General features: G+C 52.6%; 1 protein-coding gene and 1 long non-coding RNA gene across 4 annotated transcripts in view, besides 12 other annotated features; one reads left to right on the forward strand and one right to left on the reverse strand.

Annotated features, from left to right (window-relative positions):
* Nucleotides 40-19,463, reverse strand: IDH2 (isocitrate dehydrogenase (NADP(+)) 2). Of its 3 annotated transcripts, none has more exons than NM_002168.4 (11): nt 19,271-19,463; nt 8,548-8,639; nt 7,474-7,639; nt 5,582-5,742; nt 5,354-5,497; nt 4,434-4,570; nt 4,107-4,258; nt 2,270-2,382; nt 1,996-2,093; nt 1,811-1,903; nt 40-1,348 (listed from the first exon to the last, which is right to left on the reverse strand). In NM_002168.4, the coding sequence occupies exons 1-11, from the start codon at nt 19,383-19,385 to the stop codon at nt 1,261-1,263; spliced, it is 1,359 nt and encodes a 452-aa protein (NP_002159.2). In that variant the 5' UTR covers nt 19,386-19,463; the 3' UTR covers nt 40-1,260. The 3 variants fall into 3 exon arrangements, with proteins under 3 accessions (NP_002159.2, NP_001277043.1, NP_001276839.1); NM_001289910.1 differs by lacking the exon at nt 19,271-19,463 and adding an exon at nt 17,571-17,616 and having other exon boundaries at nt 973-1,348; NM_001290114.2 differs by lacking the exons at nt 7,474-7,639; nt 8,548-8,639.
* Nucleotides 973-1,473: an enhancer, noted in NCBI's record as "H3K4me1 hESC enhancer chr15:90627210-90627710 (GRCh37/hg19 assembly coordinates)". NCBI's record gives its function as "activates a minimal SCP1, AML or CMV promoter by ChIP-STARR-seq in naive H9 embryonic stem cells {active_cell/tissue: H9 hESC(naive)}" and the evidence as "EXISTENCE:reporter gene assay evidence [ECO:0000049][PMID:30033119]".
* Nucleotides 1,474-1,974: an enhancer, noted in NCBI's record as "H3K4me1 hESC enhancer chr15:90627711-90628211 (GRCh37/hg19 assembly coordinates)". NCBI's record gives its function as "activates a minimal SCP1, AML or CMV promoter by ChIP-STARR-seq in naive H9 embryonic stem cells {active_cell/tissue: H9 hESC(naive)}" and the evidence as "EXISTENCE:reporter gene assay evidence [ECO:0000049][PMID:30033119]".
* Nucleotides 4,080-4,993: an enhancer, noted in NCBI's record as "H3K4me1 hESC enhancer chr15:90630317-90631230 (GRCh37/hg19 assembly coordinates)". NCBI's record gives its function as "activates a minimal SCP1, AML or CMV promoter by ChIP-STARR-seq in primed H9 embryonic stem cells {active_cell/tissue: H9 hESC(primed)}" and the evidence as "EXISTENCE:reporter gene assay evidence [ECO:0000049][PMID:30033119]".
* Nucleotides 8,139-8,639: an enhancer, noted in NCBI's record as "H3K27ac hESC enhancer chr15:90634376-90634876 (GRCh37/hg19 assembly coordinates)". NCBI's record gives its function as "activates a minimal SCP1, AML or CMV promoter by ChIP-STARR-seq in primed H9 embryonic stem cells {active_cell/tissue: H9 hESC(primed)}" and the evidence as "EXISTENCE:reporter gene assay evidence [ECO:0000049][PMID:30033119]".
* Nucleotides 12,421-12,945: an enhancer, noted in NCBI's record as "NANOG hESC enhancer chr15:90638658-90639182 (GRCh37/hg19 assembly coordinates)". NCBI's record gives its function as "activates a minimal SCP1, AML or CMV promoter by ChIP-STARR-seq in primed H9 embryonic stem cells {active_cell/tissue: H9 hESC(primed)}" and the evidence as "EXISTENCE:reporter gene assay evidence [ECO:0000049][PMID:30033119]".
* Nucleotides 17,889-18,744: an enhancer, noted in NCBI's record as "H3K27ac-H3K4me1 hESC enhancer chr15:90644126-90644981 (GRCh37/hg19 assembly coordinates)". NCBI's record gives its function as "activates a minimal SCP1, AML or CMV promoter by ChIP-STARR-seq in naive H9 embryonic stem cells {active_cell/tissue: H9 hESC(naive)}" and the evidence as "EXISTENCE:reporter gene assay evidence [ECO:0000049][PMID:30033119]".
* Nucleotides 18,134-18,183: a silencer, noted in NCBI's record as "silent region_6810". NCBI's record gives its function as "represses an Ori minimal core promoter by ATAC-STARR-seq in GM12878 lymphoblastoid cells {active_cell/tissue: GM12878}" and the evidence as "EXISTENCE:reporter gene assay evidence [ECO:0000049][PMID:35858748]".
* Nucleotides 18,244-18,333: a silencer, noted in NCBI's record as "silent region_6811". NCBI's record gives its function as "represses an Ori minimal core promoter by ATAC-STARR-seq in GM12878 lymphoblastoid cells {active_cell/tissue: GM12878}" and the evidence as "EXISTENCE:reporter gene assay evidence [ECO:0000049][PMID:35858748]".
* Nucleotides 18,745-19,599: an enhancer, noted in NCBI's record as "H3K27ac-H3K4me1 hESC enhancer chr15:90644982-90645836 (GRCh37/hg19 assembly coordinates)". NCBI's record gives its function as "activates a minimal SCP1, AML or CMV promoter by ChIP-STARR-seq in naive H9 embryonic stem cells {active_cell/tissue: H9 hESC(naive)}" and the evidence as "EXISTENCE:reporter gene assay evidence [ECO:0000049][PMID:30033119]".
* Nucleotides 18,745-19,673: a biological region, named in NCBI's record as "H3K27ac-H3K4me1 hESC enhancer GRCh37_chr15:90644982-90645836".
* Nucleotides 18,824-18,893: a silencer, noted in NCBI's record as "silent region_6812". NCBI's record gives its function as "represses an Ori minimal core promoter by ATAC-STARR-seq in GM12878 lymphoblastoid cells {active_cell/tissue: GM12878}" and the evidence as "EXISTENCE:reporter gene assay evidence [ECO:0000049][PMID:35858748]".
* The window catches only part of IDH2-DT (IDH2 divergent transcript), a 31,441-nt gene continuing 28,570 nt past the window's right edge, over nt 19,127-21,997 (forward strand). The window contains exons 1-2 of the long non-coding RNA NR_149130.1: nt 19,127-19,373; nt 20,375-20,447. This is a non-coding gene — a long non-coding RNA (IDH2 divergent transcript). The remainder of the gene's footprint in view (nt 19,374-20,374; nt 20,448-21,997) is intronic.
* Nucleotides 19,214-19,673: a silencer, noted in NCBI's record as "silent region_6813". NCBI's record gives its function as "represses an Ori minimal core promoter by ATAC-STARR-seq in GM12878 lymphoblastoid cells {active_cell/tissue: GM12878}" and the evidence as "EXISTENCE:reporter gene assay evidence [ECO:0000049][PMID:35858748]".

The following is a 21,997-nucleotide window of genomic DNA, read 5'->3' on the forward strand; positions in this document are numbered from 1 at the left end:
GAAGAAGCTTTGCAGAACTTACTATGCAGAGGACAGTCCTTTTGATTATATGTAGCTTTAGAGCAACTTTTATTTTTCCTTTTTACATGGGGCTAAAAAACTTGCATAGAGCAATTTTTTTTTTTTTTTTTTTTTTTTTTTTTTTGAGACAGAGTCTTGCTCTGTCACCCAGGCTGGAGTGCAGTGGTGCAGTCTCGGCTCACTGCAACCTCTGCCTCCCAGGTTCAAGCCATTTTCCTGCCTCAGCCTCCCGAGTAGCTGGGACTGCAGGTGCGCATCACCACGCCTGGCTAATTTTTGTATTTTGAGTAGAGATGGGGTTTCACCATGTTGGCCAGGCTGGTCTCGAACTCCTGGCCTCAAGTGATCCACCCACCTCAGCCTCCCAAAGTACAGGGATTATAGGCGTGCGCCACTGTGCCCGGCCGAGAACAATTTGTCACAAGCTTACTTTTCTAGTTTTGCCAATGCATGGTGAAAGTGAACCCAAGCCTGGGAACTGCAGGCCTAGACAATGCAGGGCCCTTGTTCACACACACCCAAGCCCCTCCAAACTCAGGCAGCCTTGGAAAGGAGAAGTGTGAGGCAGGTGTGGGTAGGACCTCTTTTTAGTACCTAGAAAAAGGCTAAGAAAGTGGCCTGGAGATGTTTAGAAGGTTAAAACCAACGAAGAAAAAAATCAATGACAACCTATCAGGAACTGATTGACTCTCAGAATGGAGAACTGGACACAGAAACTGGATCATGCTAGAAAATTCCAGGGAACCCACAGGCCTGTGCCCTGAGTGTCCGAGAACTCCGCAGTGGGCCCCTGTGGAATGCGGGCTCCCAGGGCTGCCTGGTCCCTTCCCTGCCGTGGCAGCCCCTTCCTGAGGTGCTCTGGTCTGCCCCAGGGGAACCTGCCAGCTCTAGCAGGGCCTCTGCCTCAGGGTCCCACTACCTCCTCCCCTCAGGGACAAACACAGCAGACAATTTTGTGAAGAGCTTTTTAGTAGCTAAATATGGCACCATGTGTTCCAAGGGCAATATAAATTACAGTATGCAAAACATACTGACTGGCTGAGGTAAAACGCACTGCTCCTGCCTCACGTCACCATGAGGGGAAACACACATATGCTTTTAAAAACATCTGGCTTATAAAAAAACATCCCCTAGAAAGGCCTCCAGAGAGGGGCTGTGAGGCTCACCCTCTGCCGCGCTCAGGAGGACCCGCCGGCTCAGCCCTGGCCCCTCCACTGCAGCCATGGGTGGCGCCTCCCCCTACTGCCTGCCCAGGGCTCTGTCCAGGTTGCTCTTGATGGTGTCGAGGAAGTCCGTGGTGTTCAGGAAGTGCTCGTTCAGCTTCACACTGCAGAGAGAGCACCACTCACATCAGGGGTGGCTCCAGGCCTTGCCAAGGCCATCAGCCAGGCCCTTCCAGGGAACAGCCTGAGCTTGGGCATCAGAACAGCCATCTCCTGCCACCCAGACTACAGGCCAGAGGCCAGCTATAGCCCCCTACCATGAGGCCACCGAGATTCGGCAGGCACCCGCAGGGTCTGTCTTGCCAGGTAACTGCTCTCCTGAGAGAAGCTGGGAAAGGGGTGTGGGCAGGGTCGGAAGGAGCTCTGAGTAGCCAGCCTCAGGGATGGGGAGGAACTCACTAGACCTGGTCTACAGAGGCTGGCCTGAGCAGTCTCTCAGGGCTGTGGACATGTCCTGCCCCAGGCCCCCTTGCAGCTAAGCTGACTCATGAGGGGGACTTTAGGAGGGGTCCCCTGGCTTCCTCCCACATGGCCCCAGGGTCTGCCTACCACCCCAGGCCACGCACTTGCTGAGGCCGTGAATGCAGCCCGCCAGGTCCTTGGTCATGGCTCCACTCTCCACCGTCTCCACGCACACCTTCTCCAGCATCTGGGCAAACCTATGGGGATGGGGCAGAATGAGACCCCATCTGTGCAAGGGCAGGACCCAGAGCCTGTCCTGGGCAGCTCCGGCCTCTCCCTCCATGCTCACCTGATGAGGTCTTGGTTCCCATCCAGCTTCCCCCGGTGCTCCAGGCCACGTGTCCAGGCAAAGATGCTGGCGATGGGGTTGGTGCTGGTGGGCCGGCCCTGGGGACGGGGGTTGCAGGGAGATCAAGAGCCGAGCCAGCTAGTGAGGAGGCTGCCCAGATACAGCTGCCCGCCCCTGGGCTGGTGGGTCAGGCTCGTCCTTCCAGCCCTCAGCCCAGTGGGCTTTAGGCCCCTGGGGTAGAGGGGCATTGTGAGGCCCCATGCCCTGCACTCACCTTCTGGTGCTCCCGATAGTGGCGGGTGACGGTCCCATGAGCGGCCTCAGCCTCAATCGTCTTCCCATCAGGGCAGACCAGGACGGACGTCATCAGGCCAAGGGAGCCAAAGCCTGGAGGGTAGAAAGCCTTTCTCTCAGGGCCTCGCCTCTCCTGGGGCCACCCAGCTGAGCCCTGCTGCCCTCTACAACCCAATATTGTAGCTGCCATAGTTCGTGGCTCTACTCAGCCTCCCCCAGCTGCAACTGGGAGGACAGGGACTGTTCCAGGTCTCTTCACCCTCCTGTGGGTCTCCAGGGCCCAGCACAGGGCTGGAGGGCACTGGAGGGTGGCTATCACCAGCACATTAACATCCATCTGTGTCACCAGCTCCAGGCGCCCCACAGCCTGTGGCCCACAGGGCCCAAGAGGCCACAGAGTCCTGTGGTCCCCCACAGCCTGCCACCCAGCCTGGCTCGTGACCCGGAGGCACATTCAAGGAAAACAATAAAGCTGTGGTCAGCTATTTCCCAACAATCACTTTTGCAGCTACTCTCTTAGGCCACTTTCAAGCTTTTTGATTAATTTCTGAATGCTCCCAAATCCACATGTCAACTCCAGCAAGCTTTTCTATTGTCAAGGACTCCAGGGCTTCAAAGGCACCCCCATGACACCAAAATAAGGATTGAAGAAAGAAAACATGGACAACATCTACAGGAAAATGCTTTGTCTATGAATTCTAAGAATTTTGGCTGTAAGCAATCCCTTCTCCATTTTACCTGCACCTTCACACCATTCCTTAGACACTTAAGGTTCATTTTCATGCCTCTGCCTCATCTGCTATGGCGTTTCATCCTTCTATCCTAGATGGGAATTGTTCGGTGAGAGGATCCCCACTGAACTTTCCAAAGTAAAGCCAAAGGTTTACACAAAGTAACAAGACTCTGCTTTTCATCAGAACCCGTCCTGGGCTTCCCTTTTCCCCATACCAGGAGCTGCCCTGGTAAGCTTAGGTTTCTCTTTCACTCTCTATGTCCTGCCTGTTTCCCACACCTACCACCTTTCCTGCTCTTGTTCCCAACACAATTGGCCCATTTCTCGCTGTTCTTCTCTAATGGTCTCACCTATACTTTATTTTTTATTTTTTATTTTTTTTGGAGACGGAGTTTCACCCTTGTTGCCCAGGCTGGAGTGCAATGGCGCAATCTCGGCTCACTGCAACCTCCACCTCCTGGGTTCAAGAGATTCTCCTGCCTCAGCCTCTCAAGTAGCTGGGATTACAGGTGTCCATGACTGTGCCCGCCTCCATGCCCAGCTAAATTTTTTTGCATTTTTAGTAGAGACGGGGTTTCGTCATGTTGGCCACGCTGGTCTCAAACTCCTGACCTCATCACCTATACTTTTTACTGCAATCTGATTTGTCTTTTAGGACACCCTAGGGCTTGGGGGTTTGCAGGCTTCCCCAACATTCTCTTCCATCCATTAGGTTCACTATGCAAAATGCATTCGCTGTAGTTTAAAGAACCTCCAGTCCCGCTTGATCCCATTTTCCTACTGGAACCAAAGAGTCATGAGGCTCCATCATGGACTGGAGCAACCTTAGGGCTGTCAACCTAGCCCTGGAATTCCTGTGCCCTCCTTTCTCTCTAAGAGCAGCCTCAGTCATACACCAGTCCAAACCTAATTTGTGATCCTCTCTCACTCAGATGCCAGGGAGCTCCTGCCCCCTGCTGTCCACAGAGGACCCTGCAATGAGTCCTGCTCCACTAGAGTTTTCTACCAAAAGGGTCTGAAAATCCCTCCAGCCAGAGAAGACCAACAGTCCACCCCCACAGGGAGCAGCGTCCTCCCAGCGTACCCTGGGCCAGGATGTCTGACTGCACATCTCCGTCATAGTTCTTGCAGGCCCACACAAAGCCACCCGAAGACTTGAGGACCTGAGCCACCATGTCATCAATGAGCCGGTGCTCATACCAGATCTTATTCTTGTCGAAGTCGGTCTTATAGTGCCTGGGAGTAAAAAGGTCTGTTATGGGGAGAGGGCAGAAGGCTGACAGGTTGGGGATCCCTCCCTGAGCCTCGGAGCTGAGCCAAATGCACTCTAATAGCGACCTTCCCAGGGTAGGATGGGAACAGCATGGGGGGAAGGGAAGAAAGGCCACAGAGTACATGGATGAGGCTTTACTTGTCAAAGATCTCCTGGAAGATGTCCTTGAAACGCCCATCGTAGGCTTTCAGTATGGTGTTCTTGGTGCTCATGTACAGCGGCCATTTCTTCTGGATGGCATACTGGAAGCAGCTGTGCGCAAAACCTGAGATGGACTGCAGGGGGAGAGACAGGGCCCTGGCGTGGTGCCCTAGCCTGGCGATTGCCGGCAACCTCCCACCTCCCAGGGCAAGGCCCAGCTCTCCAGGAACGGTACCCCGCCGCCCACGCGACTGTTTAACACCAGCCTCCGTGCAGTGCACACGATGTTTCTGCTGGCCCAGCCTCTCCCTCTCAACTTTGCTTTGTAAAACACCGCCTTTTTTTTTTTTTTGGAAAACACCGCCTTTTTTTTTTTTTTTTTGGAAACAACTTTTTTTTGGAAAGCACCGCCTTAGACTACATGTGGCTGGGGCAGGGCTAATTCCCAGGCCTAGCGCTGGGGTTGACAGTGTGTCCCTGGCTTATCCAATCAGAAGCCTTTCTCCCCAGGGCCTCTGTGATTGGCTCAGAGGTGGTCATGTGACTCAGCCTGGCATTGGAGCTGGAACTGGGGATAAAGAGGCATTCTCTTCTGATAGGGTAGCCAAGCAGGCAGGAGTACGCCTGGAGCTGCTCGTGGCCATTTCTTTTCTTTTCTTTTCTTTTCTTTTTGTTTCAAGAGATGGGGTCTCACTGTTGCCCAGGCTGGTCTCAAACTTCTGGTCTCAAGCAATCCTGCCTTGGCCTCCCAAAATGCCGGGATTACAAGTGTCAGCCACCATGCCCAGCCCTGGTGGCCATTTCTGCCTCTTTGTGGCCTAAGAATGAGGCCATTACAGAAGAAAGGAAAGCCACGAGACAGAGATGAAGAGACAAGCTGGGAGAGGAGGGGCCCAGGATGCCCAAGCCAGCCTCACCTCGTCGGTGTTGTACATGCCCATGCCCACGCCGCCTGCGGGGAAGTTGTACACTTCCCACTCCTTGACACCACTGCCATCTTTTGGGGTGAAGACCATTTTGAAAGTGCCGGCCCGGTCTGCCACAAAGTCTGTGGCCTTGTACTGCAGAGACAAGAGGATGGCTAGGCGAGGAGCTCCAGTCGGGGGGTGCCCAGGTCAGTGGATCCCCTCTCCACCCTGGCCTACCTGGTCGCCATGGGCGTGCCTGCCAATGGTGATGGGCTTGGTCCAGCCAGGGACTAGGCGTGGGATGTTTTTGCAGATGATGGGCTCCCGGAAGACAGTCCCCCCCAGGATGTTCCGGATAGTTCCATTGGGACTTTTCCACATCTTCTTCAGCTTGAACTCTGTGAGGACAGAGATAATAGTGGTCCCACTGCAGCCGCCATCTTTCAACCAGAATTTGAACCCCAAGCAACAACACAGCCAGACGGGGGTCCTAAAATTCTTCATGAGGAAGGCAGTAGAGTCTAGAGTGCAAATGTGTGGGCTCTGGAGTCTGCCAATTTTTTTTTTTTTTTTTTTTTTTTTGAGACAGAGTTTTGCTCCTATTGCCCAGGCTGGAGTGCAATGGCGCGATCTCGGCTCACCACAACCTCTGCCTCCTGGGTTCAAGCGGTTCTCCTGCCTCAGCCTCCCGAGCAGCTGGAATTACAGGCATGTGACACCACACCAAGCTAATTTTGTATTTTTAGGAGAGATGGGGTTTCTCCATGTTGGTCAGGCTGGTCTCGACCTCCCAACCTCAGGTGATCCACCCGCCTCGGCTTCCCAAAGTGCTGGGATTACAGGTGTGAGCCACCATGCCCAGCAAGTCTGCCAGTTTTAATGGTGAGGCTTACAAAAGTGGCTCAACCAAAGCTGTAAAAAAAAATTACTGGAAAAATAACCAGCCTAAGTGTTGTCGTGAGGACGAAATGAGCTCGTGTGTAAAGGGCCTAGAACGGTGCCCGGTCCATGCTAAGTGCTCTGTTGGCCATTATGATTCCCACATCACACATGGAGGGAGTACAGTCCGGGGGAAGGACTTGTCTGACGAAGCCTGACAACACACTGCCCACTCCACATGCTCCGGTCCTGGCCCCAACGCCACCCCAGTTCCTAAGGCTGTGACCCTCTCCTGCCTTGTCCATAAATGGGGATACACAACTCCCAAGGTTCAGGTGAAATGAAGAGCTCAACACTCAAATGATCCCAGTGCTGTGGGTCAGGCATGACCTGCAGGACAGGGGCAGGCCTGGGGAATTTGCAGATGTATCTCGAGTACTTTCCGCCAGCTCCCTCCAACTGTGGAAAGTAGGAAGAGAGAGCTCAGAAAACTCCTCAACCATCCTTTCTCGAATTATCCAAACCTGGCCCCTCTGCACACACACTGCTGTGACTTCATGGAACCCTCGAGAGCGGCCCCAACAGCCAAGGACCAGAAGCCAGTCTAGGCCTGGTGGGGGCACCTCTCAGTGACCCTGCATGACCATGGGGACAGAGGCAGACCTGCAAGGCCAAGCCAGTGGCAGGAGGGCAACAGCAATGTTCCCCAGAGGCTGCTGAGGCTCTGAAGGACACAGGCCTTACACACAGCACTCCTCTGCACAATCTCTCTGCATACCTGCCTGCAAGACTGTCCACGCCAGAATGGACTACTGCCCAAAGAAGCCATCCTTACTGTGACCACATCAGCATTACCTTCCTCCTCCTCCTCCTCCTCAGCCCTGTCACCGATGACACCTACCACTGTCAGAGCCAGAGTGAAGCAGAAACACCACTGGCCTGGGAGATGGAAGACATGGATTCTGTTCTCAGCTCTGCTGTGCCCTAACCGTGGAACCTGAGGCCAGCCCCTTACCCACGCCTGCCCCAGCCTCATCAAAGGTGACCTCTGAGGCCCCACTGTCCACCAGGCACACACAGGGAGACTGGCCTCAGGTGCAGTTGGCCTCAGGAAAGCCCCAGCTCTGGAGCCTCCCAACCTCCCAGTCCCGAGATGAGTGACATGGCCAACTGCCCCACCCCAAGTCTGGAGAGGCCGGTGGGAGAAGCCTGTGACCCTCCCTGGCCCGCCCACCTCCACACCCTCGCACCTTCCACACGGGCCTCATCAGGGGTGATGGTGGCACACTTGACAGCCACACTGTACTTCTGGGTGGCCAGTGCAGAGTCAATGGTGACCTGGTCATCAGTCTGGTCACGGTTTGGGAGCCCGAGGTCAAAATACTTTAGCTGGATGTCCACGTGGGGCAGGATGAGCTGGGGACAGAGGGCCAGAGCAAGGCGTCACCCCAGTGACTCAGGGACATGACAACAAAGGGCAGGATAAGAAGTCTGCAGGCCATGGCAGGGGACAGTCAGTCAAAACAGGGATGAGTGAAGGCCAGTGGAGGGGCGCAGCAGAAAGCTGGAGTCAGCCATTTCTCAGTGGGGCCTGGCCAGAGCTGGCAGAGGCTGGGGCTTTGGAGAGAGGTTGGCAGGCCAGGCCGCAGTCTTTTGGAGGGTTCTTCCTCCACTGTGCCTGTGTGCCCCCCTCACATGGCCCATCAACTCAGCCAAACCCCAACCCCAAGTACATCTAGATTTCTCTATACAACTGGTTTCCTCTTCTCAAGTGCTTTGAGATCTTACAGTTGGAAGTGACAGTTCTCAACCTTTGTCCCATGAACGCACACACAGTGTGGGGCCTTCACAAGGACTACATGCTCTCCTGGACATACATAGACCACGGCAACTTTGGAGAAGCCAAGCGGCCACTCTGGGACCCCTTTGCCATGGTGGCTCGTCACAACTGCAGGCTGGGTCACTGCCCTACACACCAGCCCTGTTCCCTTTTCACTCCTTTTCAAGAAGTGAGGCAAAACGTAGGGGATCAAGATGGAAATGATACAGGATTAACCTTGAAGCTTCTCAAAGTTGACAGAACGTGTGGGATCTGGCACCATCACAACACGGACTGCTGGGGACAGGCCCCCGCCTGACGACTTCTGAACAATTAGTGGACCAGATGTGAAAGAAGGGTAGACAGAGGGAGAGAAACAGAGCTGCTGCTGCCTACCAGGACAACGGGGGGGTCCTAGGGACCTGCAGTCCAGAAGACCCTGTGGGACAGAACAATCCCTGGCCAGCCCACCTGGAGAGCCACCCACTTCAGGAGGGGGCACTACCTTCTCCTTGATGAACTGCCAGATAATACGGGTCATCTCATCACCATCCATCTCCACCACGGGCTTCGCCACCTTGATCCTTTTGTCGGCATCTAGAAGCAGGGACACACAGCGCATCATGCCCCTGGGGAGGCTGGAGGGGGGCCCTCTCCTCCCAGCCAGGCCCGCCCTTCACCAGGAGACAGTGGCAGAAAGCCAGGGCTCCAGCTGCCCGGTGTCCACTCCCCCGTCTGCAAATCAGCTCCCTCACTGCTTAGAGCAGGGGTCCCCAACTCCCAGGCCATGGACTAGTACCGTGGGCTCTGGAGAGAGGTCAGCAGACCAGGCCACAGCCTTTAGTGCAGGTCCACGGACTGTTGGGAACTGGGCCACACAGCAGGAGGAGAGCTGCAGGTGAGTGAGCACTACTACCACCTGAGCTCATGCCTGGGAACTGCGCACACGAGGGATCTAGGTTGCATACTCCTTATGAGAATCTAATGCCTGATGATCTGTCACTGTCTTCCAGCACCTCCAGATGGGACTGTCTAGTTGCAGGAAAGCAAGCTCAGGACCCCCCGATTGTACATTATGGTGAGCTATATAATTTTTTCATTATATATTACAATGTAATAATAATAGAAATAAAGTGCACAATAAATGTAATGCACTTGACTCATCCCAAAACCATCCCCGCTGCCCACCACCCTGCCACCCGTGGAAAAATTGTCTTCCATGAAACTGGCCCCTGGTGCCAAAAACTTTGGGAACTGCTGGTTTAGAGCACCTGGATCCATCCATCCTTACTTACTTCCTTTCCTTTCTTTCCTTCCTTTCCTTTCTTTCCTTCCTTCCTTCCTTTCGTTCCTTCCTCCCTTTCTCTCTCTCTTTCTTGGCAGGGTCCTGTTCCATTGGTCAGGCTGGAATGCACTGATGCCATCATAGCTTACTGCAGCATTGACTTCCTGGCTTCAAGTGATCCTCTGACCTCAGCCTCCCAAGTAGCTGGGACTACAGGCGCATGCCACCACACCCAGCTATTTTTAATTTTTTTTTTTTCTGAGACGAAGTTTCGCTATTGTCCCCCAGGGTGGGAGTGCAGTGGCATGATCTCAGCCCACTGCAACCTCCGCCTCCCGAGTTCAAGTGATTCTCGGGCCTCAGCCTCCCAAGTAGCGGGGATTTCAGGTGTGCACCACAACACCTGGCTAATTTTTTGTATTTTTAGTAGAGACAGGGTTTCACCATGTTGGCCAGGCTGGTCTCAAACTCCTGACCTCAAGTGATCCACCTGCCTTGACCCCCGCAAAGTGCTGGGATTACAGGCGTGAGCCACCGTGCCAGCCTAATTTTAAAATTTTTTTGTAGAGATGGAGTCTTGCCCTGTTGCCCAGGCTGGCTGGACTCCCCACCCCACCCCCACTTTAATCTGGCTAGGTAGAACTACCCAAAAACATGCCCAGCCCACCAGTGGCCAAGAGGGTGGGGGCCAGTCTGGCCTGTCAGACCCTCTCCCCCTGGAATATGAAGGCAGAGGAGATCAACACAAAGAACACTGGCTAGCTGCGGCTGCCTCATCCAGCACCAAATCAGTAAGAGGTTGTCCAGGGGCTCCTGCCATCCAGTTCCTAAGGAGGGCCTGGGTCCTCTTTTATGTATTTACTTATTGTTTAGAGTCAGGGTCTCTTTATCTCTCTCTGTTGCCCAAGCCAGGCTCAGACTCCGGGGCTCAAGCAATCCTTGCACCTCAGCCTCCTTAGTAGCTGGGGCTACAGGCCCATGCCAAGATATTACTTTTGTCCAAGACTTAGTTCTTTATAGTTTTCCCTGCAATTCTATGAGCTACGCTGTGTAGCTCATAATAAAATCCTCTCCAAGTTAACCAGTCACTAACTTTGTCTGTTGCGTGCAACCCAAGAGCCCTCAACTAACTTGTGGTGATAAAGGAAATAGTATAGATAGGTATTGAGTGCCTACTATGTGCCTTACAGTGTACCAATGCTGTACAATGTGATTCCATTTAATCCCAAAAACAACCCCAAGGAGGTATCATTACCTCCATTTTATTTAATTAATTAATTTATTTATTTATTTATTTATTTTTTGAGACAGAGTCTTTGGTCTGTCACCCAGGCTGGAATGCAATGGCGTGATCTCGGCTCACTGCAACCTCTGCCTCCCGGGTTCAAGCGATTCTGCTGTCTCAGCTTCCTGAGTAGCTGGGATTACAGGCACACGCCACCAGGCCCGGCTAATTTTTGTATTTTTAGTAGAGACGGGGTTTTGCCATGTTGGCCAGGCTGGTCTCGAACTCCTAGCCTCAGGTGATCCACCCACTTTGGCCTCCCAAAGTGCTGGGATTACAGGCGTGAGCCACCACGCCTGGCCATTATCTCCATTTTAAGTGTGGGAAACTGAGGCTCAGAGAGGTTAACAGCTTACTGCCCAAGGTTACAGAGCTTGAAAACAGCAGAGTCACGAGGACTCTGACCCTATTCAACAGGAAGGACAGGCTTACAGCACCTGCGAATGGAACTCAGAACCCTTGATCCCAGCCGACGCAGGTGGGTCAGTCCTACCAGAGAAGCATCAAAGGACTCAATGAGGGGCTGATCAGAGGTCCAGGGAGACCAGTGGAGGGTAGGGGGCAGGGGACGCTACTGAAGGAGAGTCTGACTCGCAGGAATACCCAACAGTCTGGGAAGTGAATTTCAAAGAAAACTCAGGAACTGGCCACCTAACAATGAATCAGTACAGCTGCCTTGGACAAGGCTTGTTGAACCTCAGCCTGCAGCAGATAGGGGCACCGGGGCACCAGCCTGCTCCTCTGCCCACAGCCTGGGAAGAAGCAGCAAATGCAGAGCAGGGAACAAGATCTAATAAAACTTCAGTCACAGGGAAATCTCACCAGCTCAGCTGAGAGCTGTGCCCTTTCCTCAAAGCAGCACTCCTCAGCCTCACTTACAGCCCAATTACTCTTGTGTTACACACAGTCCTTAGAGAGGTGGTGATGTGTCTTCAGCTCCACTCTAGATTAGACACAGCAAATCAGGTGAAGGGAAGAGAATGATTATTTGAAAACACTGGGTTGGGGCTGGGTGTAATGGCTCATGCCTGTAATCCTAGCACTTTGGGAGGCTGAGGCAGGTGGATCACTCAAGGTAAGGAGTTCAAGACCAGCCTGGCCAACATGGTGAAACCCCATCTCTACTAAAAATAGAAAAATTAGGCATGGTGGCACGTGCCTATAATCCCAGCTACCGAGGAGGCTGAGGCAGGAGAATCGCTTGAACCCGGGAGGTGGAGGTTGCAGTAAGCCAAGATCACGGCACTGCACTCCAGCCTGGGCAACAGAACGAGACTCCATCTCAAAAAAACAAACAAACAAACAAAAAAAACTGGGTGGGAAGAACTGACAAGGGACAGAATACCTGTGAAAAGCAGGCCTAGAAACCACCTCGGCACATTTAAAACAAAAGTGATTAAAGCCTAACAGACCTCAAACAACTGACTTTCCAAAGATATGCAAAGAGTTTGTTTTTTTTTTTTAATCTAAAAATAATCTTAGAGATCATTTAGGGGGAATAATGAGACTCAGAGAGTGTGGTCTGCATCAGAGGCAAGATAGAGCCCAGGTCCCTGACCCAAATGCAGCCTCTGGAAGACCCGTGGGTCAGATGTAGAGAAGCAGAACACAAACACAGCCTTGGACTATTCCATTCCCTAGAGAACAAAAGGTGGCTGGCTGCTGGCTCTACTGCCTTTCCCAAGACGCGATGGGGATTTTGAACCCAATCTACAATATTCCTTCACTTTTTTCTGAAGCTTGAGTGGAAAGAGCTGCAGAACCTGCGGAAAGTCTGTTGAGCTGTTGCAGAGCTAGTTTAGTTCTGGGGAGCATCTCCTATGAGTTAATTTGAGGACAGCTAATCAAATTTGTTAAAAAAAAAAAAAAATGAACTATCATAATCAGGAGCCCTAAGGAGAGACTCACTTGGGGCCAGTTCTTCAGGTTTCAGCCTCAGCCTGGGCTCCACGGTTGGGCTTCAGGCAGGCATGGCTAGGAGAGTTCAAGGTCAAGATCAAAGACCTGATGTGTCAAACCCTCAGAGACCACAGGACCTGATTATTTACTCACCGGCAGGTGCTAACTAAGCACTTATCCAGTACCCCACTGGGATACTGAAATGCCTAAAACACAACAGTGCCTGCCCGGAGGCAGTGAATGTGGAAGGGGAAACCTACAGGTAACAGAGAGAGAGCAAGCAGGGCTGTCACCAAAGTCAGGAGTGCCCAGGCCTCCCTGGAAGCAAACATCCCAGGGGAACTGAGAACAGCAACATGAGCCAAGGCCAGCAGAGACTTGTTCTGCTTGTTCCAGGTACTGGTTTTTTAAAAAAATCTTAATTGGTGACCAAGTTTTAAAAATCAGTAAATCTCAACAATAAAACAAATAACTCAACGTTAAAATGGACAGAAGACTGGCTGGGCACCGTGGCTCATGCCTGTAATCCCAGCACTTTGGAAGGCTGAAGAGGGCAGATCACTTGAGGTCAGGAGTTCGAGACCAGCCTGGCCACAATGGTGAAACTCTGTGTCTACTAAAAATAGAAAAAAAATTAGCCTGGTGTGGTGACACACACCTGTAGTCCCAGCTATTTGGGAGGCTGAGGCAGGAGAATTGCTTGAACCCAGGAGGTGGAGGTTGCAGTGAGCAGAGATCATGCCACTGCACTCCAGCCTGGGTAACAGGAAGACTCCATCTCAAAATAAATAAATAAATATAATGGACAAAAGACTTAAATAGACATTTCAAGTCCAAAGATGATATACAAATGGCCAACAAGCACATGAAAAGATGCTCAACATCACTAATCATCAGGGAAATGCAAATCAAAACCATAATGAGATATCACCCCACTATCCCCTCACAACCACTAAGAGAGCTACTATCAGGAAAAGAAAAACAAAACAGAAAATAAAGTGCTAGCAAGGATGTGGAGAAATTGGAACTCTTGTGCCCTGTTGGTGGGAATGTGAAATGGTGCAGCTGCTGTGGAAAACAGTATGGGTGTTCCTTAGCTAAAAGGAAAAGAATTACTGCCGGGCACGGTGGCTCGCACCTGTAATCCCAGCACTGTGGAAGGCTGAGGCGGGTGGATCACGAGGTCAGAAGATCGAGACCATCCTGGCTAACACAGTGAAACCCTGACTCTACTAAAAATACAAAAAATTAGCCAGGCGTGGTGGCAGGCGCCTGTAGTCCCAGCTACTGGGGAGGCTGAGGCAGGAGAATGGCATGAACCCGGGAGGCGGAGCTTGCAGTGAGCTGAGATCGCGCCACTGCACTCCAGCATGGGCGAAAGAGAGCAAGACTCCGTCTCGAAAAAAAAAAAGAAAAGAAAAGGACAAGAATTACTATATGATCCAGCAATTCTGCTTCTGTATATACATCCAAAAATATCGAAAGCGGGGTCTGAAAGAGATATATGTATGCCCACATTCATAGCAGCAATGTTCACAACAGCAAAAGATAGAAGCAACCCACGTGTCCATCACAGATGAATGGATAAAGACAATGTGATACAGTCCCCCCTTATCAAAGGTTTTATTTCCATGACGTCAGTTACCTGTGGTGTCAGTTACCCACAGTCAACCATAGTCTGAAAATAGGTGAGTACAGTACAGTAAGATATTTTAAGAGATCACATTCATGTAACTTTCATTACAGTATATTGTTATAATTGTTCTATTTTATTACTAGTTATTATTGCTAATCTCTTACTGTTCCTAATTCATAAATTAAACTTTATCATAGATCTGTATGTATAGGAAAAAAACATAGTATCTACAGGCTTTGCAGTTTCAGGTATCCACTGGGGATCTTGAAATGCATCCTCCAAGGATAAGGGGGACTACTGTTATCTACATACAATGGAATATGATTCAGCCTTGAAAAGAAGGGAAATTCTGACACCTGCTACAAAGTGGATGAACCTGGGGGGCATTATGCTAACTAAGTGAAATAAACCAGTCACAAAAGACAAATACTATATGCTTCTACTTACATGAGGTACCTAGAATAGTCAAATTCATAGAAACAGAAAGTAAAAAGGTGGCTGCCAGGGACTGGGGACGGGAAGTGGGGAGGTATTGTTTCATGGGTAGAGAGTTTCGGTTTTGCAAGGTGACAAAGTTCTGGTGATGGATGGTGGTAATGTCTGCACAACAGTGCGAATGTACTTAACAATACTGTACACTGAACAATGACTAAGATGGTAAGTTTTATACGTTTTTTACCAAAATAATAAAAATTTAAACCAGTCAAAAAAAATCAGGAGATTTTATATAAAAATCTAGAAATGCAGCAGGCACTCACTCATGGCAAGGATGGGCTGGGCTGAAGGCGGCCTCTCCCTTCACTCCATGACAGCCAAGTGCCCTCCAGTGTGGCCCAGGGCACTGGAGTTTGAGACCCCTGTCTGCTGTTCAGCCTGTATGGTGGAGATACAGCCATGGTCTGCCCTTCTCTGAGAGATAAGTGGTGACAAGCTACCTGAAATACACAGAGCAGCAGCTAGGCCTCCCTGAAAACCTCCGAAGTGACAGCCACCACGAATCTTCAGCTGATGCATTGCACAAACACTGTCCTCTTGGCGAGAGTGCAGGATGGAATTACACCAGTCACCAGAGGCACGTTAGGCTGACTCTCCTCCCTGTCTGGGGCTCCTAGCACCCAATACCAAGTAAGGATTTCAAAACACATCCCTGGCTTCTTGCTGCTCCCAGCAGGAGGCTAGAGGTCCAGCCGCAGGCAGCCAGCCCCAGGCATAACTGCTCCCTCCACATTCCTACCCATGCTCTCAGCAGAAAGGCTGCTCAGTCAGCATGTCCCAGCAAAAGATCAGAGAGTGGGGAAAGGTTCCAATTCCTGGGGGCTCAAGAAGGCAGGACAGCAACTTTGTATATTTTATGTATGTATGTATGTATGTATGCATGCATGTATGTATGTATGTATGTATGTATGTATTGAGACAGAGTCTCACTCTGTCGCCTACACTGGAGGGCAGTGGCGTGATCTCGGCTCACTGCAAGCTCCACCTCCTGGGTTCAGGCAATTCTCCTGCCTCAGCCCCTGAGTAGCTGGGACTACAGGCGCCTGCCACCACACCCAGCTAATTTTTGTATTTTTAGTAGAGACCGGGTTTCACCATGGTGGCCAGGCAGGTCTCGAACTCCTGGCCCCAACTGATCCGCCTGCTTCGGCCTCCCAAAGTCCTGGGAGCCACCGCACGCGGCCAGAACAGCCATTTTGGAACAAACTCTAGTAGACTCCTTGGTGTCATCCTTCATTCCTTCCCTTCTCTCACATCCAAACCACCAAAACCAGAAGCCACCCTCAGACAAGCCCACCCTTGCCATAAGTGAGTGCCTGCTGCGTATCTAGATTTTTATGTAAAATCGCCTGAATTGGAACCTTTCCCCACTACTGGCTCCTCCTTCAAAATATATCCAGAATCCAACCACTTCTTCACCATCCCCAGCGCCACCACCCAGGTCCAAGCCATCATCCTCTCTTGCCAGGTCCCTGAAGCTAGAATGCTCCCGATAAGATGGAAATCAGGTAACGATACTCCTCTCAAAACCCTGCAAAGTAAAAGCGAAAGCTCTCAAAAATGGCCTGTGAGCCCTCTACAGACCCCACTGCCGAACCTCATCCTGTCACTCCACCTGGTGCCTGCTGAGCCAGCCTTCGCACCATCCTCTCTGCTCTTCCATCATGCCCTTGGCACCTGCGAGTCCCTCTTCCCCCAATACCGAAAATGGCCTGCTTCCTCCCCTCCTCAGCGATTCCTTCAGTGAGGACTTTTCTGGCTGCCCTATACAAACTTTTGTGCACACACCTTTCTTGCCTGTTTCTCCTTAGCTCTTCTCTTTTTGGGGGGAGAAGGGGGAGGCAGGGTCTTGCTTTGTCACCCAGGCTAGAGTGCAGTGGCACAATTGTACCTCACTGCAGCCTTGACCTCCTGGGCTCAAATGATCCTCCTGAGTAGCTAAGACCACAGACATGCACCATCGTGCCTGGCTAATTTTATTTTTTATTTTTGTAGAGATGGGGTCTCACTATATTGCCCAGGCTGGTCTGGAGCTCCCAGCCTCAAGCAATCCTCCCACCTCAGCCCCCCAAAATTCTGGGATTACAGGTGTAAGCCACAGTGCCTGGCCTTCCTTAGCTCTTGTACCCATATATCATACTAGTCAACATCTATCTTGCTTACTGTCTGCCCCCTCCCACATCAGAATTTGAGCTCCTAAGGGTTTTGAAAGAGTCTCTGCTGGTTTTATTCCCAGCTCTATCCCCAGCACCCGGCATGGTGTCTGGCACAAAGTAGGAGTATACTACTTTTGTCAAAGACATAAATAAAGGTCAAGTTGAAGTCAACTCCATCTGTGGTCAGGGCTGCCCTGCCCTCACCTTCTGTTTCACTGAATGTGTTTCCTCCCCTCTCACCCATCTGGTATGCATTGCCACACAGGGGCCAGTGAGTTCTTACCAGCAGCCTGCACCAGATGTACACGGGTGGCATCTCTCTCCAGCAATAGGCCCCATGCCCTGAAGAAGCTTACAACCTACAGTGTACTAATATTTGCAATCTGCTGGTATTTTTAACATGGGTTTACAGAGTATAAACCCCAGGGAAGGCCACAGACCCTGGCTTCCAGTAATCTGAGAGCAGTTTCCAGCACCTCATACCCTGAATGGAACCAGCCCAAGGGCCCTCAACTTCACACAGAAGATGTGGGAGCAGGCCTCAGCCATTCCAAAGAGGCTTTTCCTCAGTACCTACTAGGCCTAAACACAACCACCCCAATCAGCTCTGGCAGGGCAGCTAGGGCCTTATCTGACGTGGCAGAAAGATCTGCACACTTAAGGGGCAAGAATTAAGAAGTTTCTGGGTTAGGAGTGAAGGAAGGCTAGATAAGTAATTCTGCCACTGAGCCGTTCACAGAACTGGTCCGCACTGCCCCAAGCTCTAACTTACCAGAAACATCACCAGCAGTCGCTGGAAGCCTATGGCGTTGCAAAATAGGAAAAGATGCGTGCAGGAATTACCAGGCAGCAAAGACACGGGGCTCTTTTAGCCCCAAAATATTCTTTCCTTGTCATCAAGGGGAATGCCAAGTATTCTGTCTCCAGCTGCGTTGCCAGGTAACAAGCTGGCAGAGTCGCAACTGTAGAGTCTGATGTCCAACTCCAACACCAAGCAATTTCCCCATTCATAACCAACCCACATGGGGACTTCTAGAAGGGCCTGCAACTGACTGCTTTTTCTGTATCCAAATTCAGGACCCTTAAAAGGCGCTTTGTGTTCCTGTTTGTGTGTGTTTTTCGGGTTGTTTGTTTCTTTTTTTTTTTTTTACCATCAAGGCAGAAAAAAAGGGAGAATTAAAGAATGTGGCTAACTTCCACCATATTTTTGCTGAAGGTGGTGTGCTATATGGGAATCTTTGGGTCCTGGGGCACTTGGAACCTGGGAGTTGTTGGGCAGATCCCTGAGGTAGATTCCCAGAGGTACAAAAGCAGACATGCCCCTTTCTCCTTGGCAGGGAAGGTAGGACTGGGGCCCAAGCCTCCCTACCCCCCCGGCTCTAGTCAGCTGCTCCCACAATCCGGTTAACCATTACCTCCTCTGGCCAGGTCAGGGCCAGCGGGCCCCATCCCCTCTTCCTCACTCTCCTGGCTCACTGCAAGGGGCTCCTGGCCAGATTAGGATAGGGGTTTCCATGGCAACAGGCATTAGGCAGGGCCAAGGGACCTACATTGTTCCCTGCCTTTTGTAGCTGTGTTGGGTAGCCAGGGTGAGGGGGCAGGCCGATGCCCACACGCCAAGCAAGGCAGCCTGCGTTGGCAACGGAGGCTCGGGCTAAGTCTTGCTTATTACGACCCGACTACTGTCTTCCCTCCTAAGCAGGGAACTAAGGGTACCCAGAAGCCGTGGGAACGATTCCGCAAAGTGACATTTTGCGCGGGCTGCCAGGTCTCTGCGGCGAGTGAGCCAGGCAGGGAGGGCATGTGCCTGCCAAGGCAGGTCAAGTCAAGGAGAGGCCCCAGGATGGAGCCTCAAGTGCAGCGATGAAGGCGAAGGGGTGGGGGTGGGGGCGGCCAAACAAAAGGGGAAAATTAAAAAGGACGCTCCTCCAGCTGTCGTGTAAAAGGCTCCAAAAATAGCTGACGTGGGCCTGGTATCAGCGCGCGCCTGGCTGAAAAGGAAGGGGAAGTGCATGTCTCCCGCCTCCCAGCCTTTGTCTGAGCAGGGGCCGAGCCACGACCCTCCCTCTCGCCAGGGGAGCGCGCGGGGTGCTCCAGCCCCCCACGGGTGCTCGTCTCGTTCCAGGGGCGCAGGGCGGGCAGGCCACCCTTCGGGTCCGGGACACTCTCAGGACCCCCTCCCGAAATACCTAGGGGCGCGCGGCAGCCCCGAGCCCCCGCCCGCGCAGAGCTGGCCGTCGCCCGGGCCACCAGTTGCCACCGTCCCTCAAGTCCCCACCCCAGCGCCTGGCACGGCCGGGAAGCGCCGGGCGGGGGAGCGCGGAGCGAAGCTGCCCCGCGGCCCTTTGTGCGCCTGACCCCGCCGTCCCCGGGCTGCGGGCTGGCGGGACGTGCTTCCCGGCCCCAGCCTGGGAAGCCGCCACGTCGCAGCTGGGGGCGCGCGCCTGCCTGGACCCTCCGCGCGGCACTCACAGTGGCGCCGCGGCTGCTCTTGCGAGGTGGGGGCTGTCAGGGCCGCCGGCGCCCAGGCCGGCCGCGAGCCTGAGGCTCTGCAGAGCGAGCGCACGACCCGCAGGTAGCCGGCCATCCCAAGCTGGAGAGCGAACGAGCAGGGCGGGAGAGGTCCGAGCGCGCGCCGCTCCTCCCGGCTGCCTGGCCGCGGGCTAACGCTGGGCCTGGCGGGCGCTGGCCGCGCGGGCACCACCGGGGCGGGGCTGCCGGGCCTGCCGCCCCATTGGGCCTTGCCGGGGAGGAGGCGGGGCCAGGGCCGCCGACGCCTCCAGCGTCCCGCGGGAGCCGGGACCCGGCGGCCAGGCCCGGCTGGTGCTTCTCTGGGCGCCGCTGAAAGCCCAGCTCCGCAGGAGCTACAGGCGTGAGACCCACCGGGACCCGCGAGCGGGATCAGGGCTGGGGGATTAGCAGAGCCGCTTGCGAGGCTGACCCTCTCCAGGATGCCCCATGTAAACCTGGATGTCAGTTTCTGACGCTTTAGCTTAAACCCAAAAGCCAATCTGAGCGAACTCTTGCTTCCCTCGCCTGCCGGGCTGAACCCAAAGGCGCATTAGCCCAGTGCGGCTGCTTCATTCTTGAGCTAAGACCGCCGGCGGCGTCTGCGCCTCCGCGAGTCCGCTGTCAGGTCCAGCTGGTGTAGAGAGAGTTGAAATCTCACTTTGGGCCGGGCGCGGTGGCTCACGTCTGTAATCCTAGAACTTTTGGGAGGTCGAGGCAGGCGGATCACTTGAAGTCAGGAGTTCGAGACCAGGCTGGCTAACATAATGAAACCCCTGTCTCTACTAAAAATACAAAAATTGATCGGGCATGGTGGCGCGCGCCTGTAATCCCAGCTACTCAGGAGGCTGAGGCGGGAGAATCACTTGAACCTGAGAGGCAGAGATTGCAGTGAGCTGAGATCATGCCACTGCACTCCAGCCTGGGCAACAGAGTGAGACTCCGTCTCAAAAAAAAAAAAAAAAAACCACGAAAAAAGAAATATGATTGGACCAGAAGGCCAATAACCTGAGTGGGGAAACCCAGCAAGTCCTGTCCGTGTAGATTCTTCTTGACCTTTCTCTGCAGCATTCCTTCCTTCTGAGTACGGGGCAGGACTCTCTCTGGGATGGAGGGGTCTTAGGACCTGCAAGCAAACAAGGTAGGTCAGATAATTTATGGCCAGTTTTTACCCAGAAATGTGTGGGAGAAAGAGTAATATTTTTGGGTTCGATGTCTGGCTTTGGGGGAGAAGGGCTCTGGTTTCTATGACCTGCCTTGAGGAAGAAGGATTCCAGTTTCTATGGCTGGCCTCGGAGGAGAGTGAGGGGCCAAAGACAGGAGGGAGGGAGAGGGTCAGAGAGAGCTGCTCCTGAGGCCTGCATTTTGGGGTGTTGTTTTCTGAGACCCTAGAGTAGTCAAACAGCCACAGTAGAAACAGTTCCATTTTTGCCTGTTTGCATATAAAAGATGGGTTTGTTTGTTTGTTTTAATTAAAAATAGAGATGGGGGGATCTCACTATGTTGCCCAGGCTGGTCTCCAGCTCCTAAGCTTAAATGATCCTCCCGCCTCGGCCTCGCAAAGCACTGGGATTACAGGTGTGAGCCACTGCACCTGGCCACAAAAGACAGTTGTAATTGATTCTGCCACAAACAAAGTTTCTCTCTTCATCTGTTTTCTTAAACTAAGACACCAGCTGAGGGCTGGGTTTTATTTGGAAAAACCTGACCTCTTTCCCTTCTCTGCTTTCCCAGTCACGCTAATTCACTCCAAATAGGAGCAACCTTTCTCTTCTGTGTTCTCAGCCCTCCCCTCCACTACCTCACAGTCAACATTGCCAGGTGGAGCTGGACCAGGAAGGTGACCTTCAACTAGTGACTTCAAAGCTCCCCTCACCAAGTCCTAGCCGGCAGAACTACTACTCTGGCCATGGGATCCAGAAGGCTGAGCCCAAGGGAGGGCTGCTTTTGGGCCCCCCAGAGTCTGAGGCCTCTGTCAAAGGCCTGGTCTTGGGCCAGCTTGTGCCAGAAAGACCCCTTATCCCTTTGACTCTGTTCAGAATTCTGTTGCTCCAAACACAAGTAGAGACCATGGAAGCCTCTGGCATTTGACTTTCCTGCCAACCTGGTATTATCAGGTGCCTGGATCTCAATGTCCACACCTGTAAACTGGAAGACTGGACCCCTGAAGATCCTTCTGGTCCAAACAATCAGACTTACGTATGTCAGCCACCCATACTGCCACCTCTGAAATGGCGGTAATGAAATTGCTGTCCCCCTCCCCCCACCAAGGACTTGCCCCTTTCTCTGCATGTTGGACTCATATCTCAGAGGCCTGGCCAGAGGCAGCACTGTAGGTGTGTTCCAGAGTCTGGTCTTTGCCTGCTGAGGGATCAGAGGGGGAGCACTTGTGTGCCTTGTAAGCACAGCAGCAGCTGGAGGCAATTGAGGCAAAATCTTTAAACGGATTCTAACTACCTGCCTCCCAGGGCCCCAGCTCCACGCCAGCCTTTCCCGTAAATCCTGTTTGGTGAGGCAGCTGATGCCAGCTCCATTTGGCTCGTAGAGGTTACCACACTTGCTCAATGTCACACTGCTGGGAAGCAGTAAAACTCCAGTTCAAATCAACATACCTGGCCCATATTCCATTACTGTTTTTTTGTTTTTTCCGAGACAGGGTCTCACTCTGTTGCCCAGGCTGGAGTGCAATGG

This window comes from Homo sapiens, chromosome 15 (genome assembly GCF_000001405.40).
Source record: "Homo sapiens chromosome 15, GRCh38.p14 Primary Assembly".
Lineage (NCBI taxonomy): Eukaryota > Metazoa > Chordata > Mammalia > Primates > Hominidae > Homo > Homo sapiens.

What these genes read in the sequence shown, in the direction of transcription:
- IDH2 (NM_002168.4), bottom strand. Translation starts at nt 19,385, where the DNA reads ATGGCCGGCTACCTGCGGGTCGTGCGCTCGCTCTGCAGAGCCTCAGGC. An exon ending in GGGAACCAAGACCTCATCAG is followed by an intron (nt 1,904 to 1,995) that starts GTGAGCATGGAG and finishes CCATCCCCATAG; the next exon opens with GTTTGCCCAGATGCTGGAGA. An exon ending in TGCATTCACGGCCTCAGCAA is followed by an intron (nt 1,349 to 1,810) that starts GTGCGTGGCCTG and finishes CTCTCTCTGCAG; the next exon opens with TGTGAAGCTGAACGAGCACT.